Source organism: Homo sapiens, chromosome 7 (assembly GCF_000001405.40).
Source record: "Homo sapiens chromosome 7, GRCh38.p14 Primary Assembly".
NCBI classification, from domain to species: Eukaryota; Metazoa; Chordata; class Mammalia; order Primates; family Hominidae; genus Homo; species Homo sapiens.
The window spans coordinates 55311302-55314638 of NC_000007.14; the positions used below are offsets into that span (position 1 = coordinate 55311302).

General features: G+C 54.4%; 1 annotated feature.

Annotated features, from left to right (window-relative positions):
• Window positions 242–742: an enhancer, noted in NCBI's record as "H3K27ac hESC enhancer chr7:55379236-55379736 (GRCh37/hg19 assembly coordinates)". NCBI's record gives its function as "activates a minimal SCP1, AML or CMV promoter by ChIP-STARR-seq in naive H9 embryonic stem cells {active_cell/tissue: H9 hESC(naive)}" and the evidence as "EXISTENCE:reporter gene assay evidence [ECO:0000049][PMID:30033119]".

Genomic DNA, 3337 nt, shown 5'->3' on the forward strand with positions numbered 1-3337 from the left:
GGCTCACTGCAATCTCCCTGCCTGATTCTCCTGCCTCAGCCTGCCGAGTGCCTGCAATTGCAGGCGCGCGCCGCCACGCCTGACTGGTTTTCGTATTTTTTTGGTGGGGTTTTGCTGTGTTGGCCAGGCTGGTCTCCAGCTCCTAACCGCGAGTGATCCGCCAGCCTCGGCCTCCCGAGGTGCCGGGATTGCAGACGGAGTCTGGTTCACTCAGTGCTCAATGGTGCCCAGGCTGGAGTGCGGTGGCGTGATCTCGGCTCGCTACAACCTCCACCTCCCAGCCGCCTGCCTTGGCCTCCCAAAGTGCCGGGAGTGCAGCCTCTGCCCGGCCGCCACCCCGTCTGGGAAGTGAGGAGCGTCTCTGCCTGGCCACCCGTCGTCTGGGACGTGAGGAGCCCCTCTGCCTGGCTGCCCAGTCTGGAAAGTGAGGAGCGTCTCTGCCCGGCCGCCATCCCATCTAGGAAGTGAGGAGCGCGTCTTCCCGGCCGCCATCCCATCTAGGAAGTGAGGAGCGTCTCTGCCCGGCCGCCCATCGTCTGAGATGTGGGGAGCACCTCTGCCCCGCCGCCCCGTCTGGGAGGTGAGGAGCGTCTCTGCCCGGCCGCCCCGTCTGAGAAGTGAGGAGACCCTCTGCCCGGCAACTGCCCCGTCTGAGAAGTGAGGAGCCCCTCCACCCGGCAGCCGCCCCGTCTGAGAAGTGAGGAGCCCCTCCACCGGCAGCCACCCCGTCTGGGAAGTGAGGAGCGTCTCCGCCCAGCAGCCACCCCGTCCGGGAGAGAGGTGGGGGTCAGCCCCGGCCAGGCCAGCCGCCCCGTCCAGGAGGGAGGTGGGGGGGGTCAGCCCCCCGCCCGGCCAGCCGCCCCGTCGGGGAGGGAGGTGGGGGGGTCAGCCCCCCGCCCGGCCAGCCGCCCCGTCCGGGAGGGAGGTGGGGGGGTCCAAGGTAAGGAAGGCCCTAGAGTCTAGGAAGAGACTGGCCAGTGCATTAACCATTGTAGTGTAATGGATTTGATGTTACTTTATGCTCACAAGTTGGACACACACACAGGGACCCAGATCAAATTGGAGGGGAAGGTCAAAGTCAGCTTCCCAAAGGAACTGAAGCTTAGACTGATTTTTAAAGGCTGAGTTAAAATAAACTGGGTAAAAATAAAGAAGGAAAGAGAAAAGCAAATGTAAAATATCTGTGCAGCATGAAGTAGCAAAATATATTCAGAGAATGTAAGAAGCTGAAATGAGGGCCTCAACTAAGCGTGGGAATGCAGATGGTGACATAGCAATGCTGAGGTAGGCTCCCCAGGACCGAGGCCGGCTTGTTGCGGGGAGAGGGGAGGGGCACTCTAGGATGATCTCTGGCGTAAGCAGCAGGTAACGCGGTGCCAGGACATGGCTGAGTTTTACATAAACATTTGTTCAAGCAAATATGGGATCATTCACTGAAACGGAGAATTCAAAGTGAGGTCTAGATTTGGTGGCAAGATACAACTGATTCGAGGTTAGGAAAGGAGAGTTGGAGGAACAGGAGGAAGCGGCCTCTCATCTGCAAACCCTGAGTTCCTGGAACACTTGTTTGTTAGGGAGGGAAGTGTGGCCCAGCCACAATCCTTTGAACATCTTCCTCTTCCATCCTCTGGGTTCTGCATTTCGTGCTGATCTTTAATACATTTCAGATTTTCCAGATACGTCCACACCTCACCCTGGTACACTACTGACTGGAATGTCACTTCCTTCAGGCAGGGGCTTGACATCTCCTTGTGAAACTAGCTAGCCAAGTTCCAGAAATGGGATGGAGGGTCTGGCCCACCCCTTTGTAGCACAGTCCTGGAGATGACAGCAGCCTTCCTGGGTGCGGGGCAAGCAATCTCATCTGCCTGTCTGCAGTGGAGCAGTTTGAGCAGCTCCCCAGCCTGGTGCCACACAACAGCATCATGCCCACGAGGTCTTATTCCAGGTGAGCCTCACATACCATGTTGTCAAAGGTGCCTGCTGGGCCTTCCAGGGGTGCTGCAATTTCTCTCTGTGCCCATTTAGTGCAGGTGTCAGAGCATCTGCAGCTGGATCTAGGTGCCAGTGCTATTCTGAGGCTCCCGGGAACCTCTTAATGTTGTAGACACTGCTCACTGTGTTTCCAGGGACCAAATAAATTGGTAAAATGGCACAAGCTGGCCATGTGTGAAATGGAGAGGGAACGGGTCAATTGGAAAACTTACAAAACTTCTAAGAAGGCCAGGCACGGTGGCTCATGCCTGTAATCCCAGCACTATGGGAGGCCGAGGCAGGCAGATCACAAAGTCATGAGTTCAAGACTAGCTTGACCAACATGGTGAAACCCCATCTCTTCCAAAAATACAAAAATTAGCCGGGTATGGTGGTGCGCTCCTGTAATCCCAGCTATTCAGGAGGCTAAGGCAGGAGAAGTGCTTGAACCCAGGAGGCAGAGGTTGCTGTGAGCCAAGATCGCGCCATTGCACTCCAGCCTAGATGACAGAGCATGATACCATCTCAAAAAAAAAAAAAAAACTTCTAAGAAGAGGCCCAGCATGGTGGCTCATGCCTGTAATCCCAGCACTTTGGGAGACCAAGGAGTGCAGATCATTTGAGGTCAGGAGTTCAAGACCAGCATGGCCAACATGGTGAAACCCCGTTTCTACTGAAAACACAAAAATTAGCCCGTCATGGTGGTGCACACTTGTAATCCCAGCTACTGGGGAGGCTGAAGCAGGAGAATCACTTGAGCAGGGAGGCAGAGATTGCAGTGAGCAGAGATGCACTGCACTCCAGCCTGGGCCATGGAGTAAGACTCTGTCTCAATTAAAAAAAAATAATTAATAAAAAAATATAAAAACTTCTAAGAAGAGGCTGAGGGTGGTGGCTCACGCCTGTAATCCCAGCACTTTGGGAGGCCAAGGCAGGCAGATCACGCAGTCAGGAGATCAAGACCATCCTGGCTAACACGGTGAAACCCCATCTCTACTAAAAATACAAAAAAATTAGCCGGGCGTGGTGGTGGGCACCTGTAGTCCCAGCTACTCGGGAGGCTGAGGCAGAAGAACGGCGTGAACCCGGAAGGCGGAGCTTGCAGTGAGCCGAGATCCCGCCACTGCACTCCAGCCTGGGGTCAGAGCAAGACTCCATCTAAAAGAAAAAAAAATTTCTAAGAAGAAAATGCAACTTCCTCTCTGCCATTACTTAGCAAAAGTGTATCCCATTCCTTTCATCAGCCTGAAAGACCGCACAGCTCACAGGCTGCCTGTCTTGTCTCTTGGTCACAATTTAATTGGAAAGTTGAAAAAGCTGAAAAATTACATAAGAAGTAGGGTGTCAGATAAAATACAGTCCA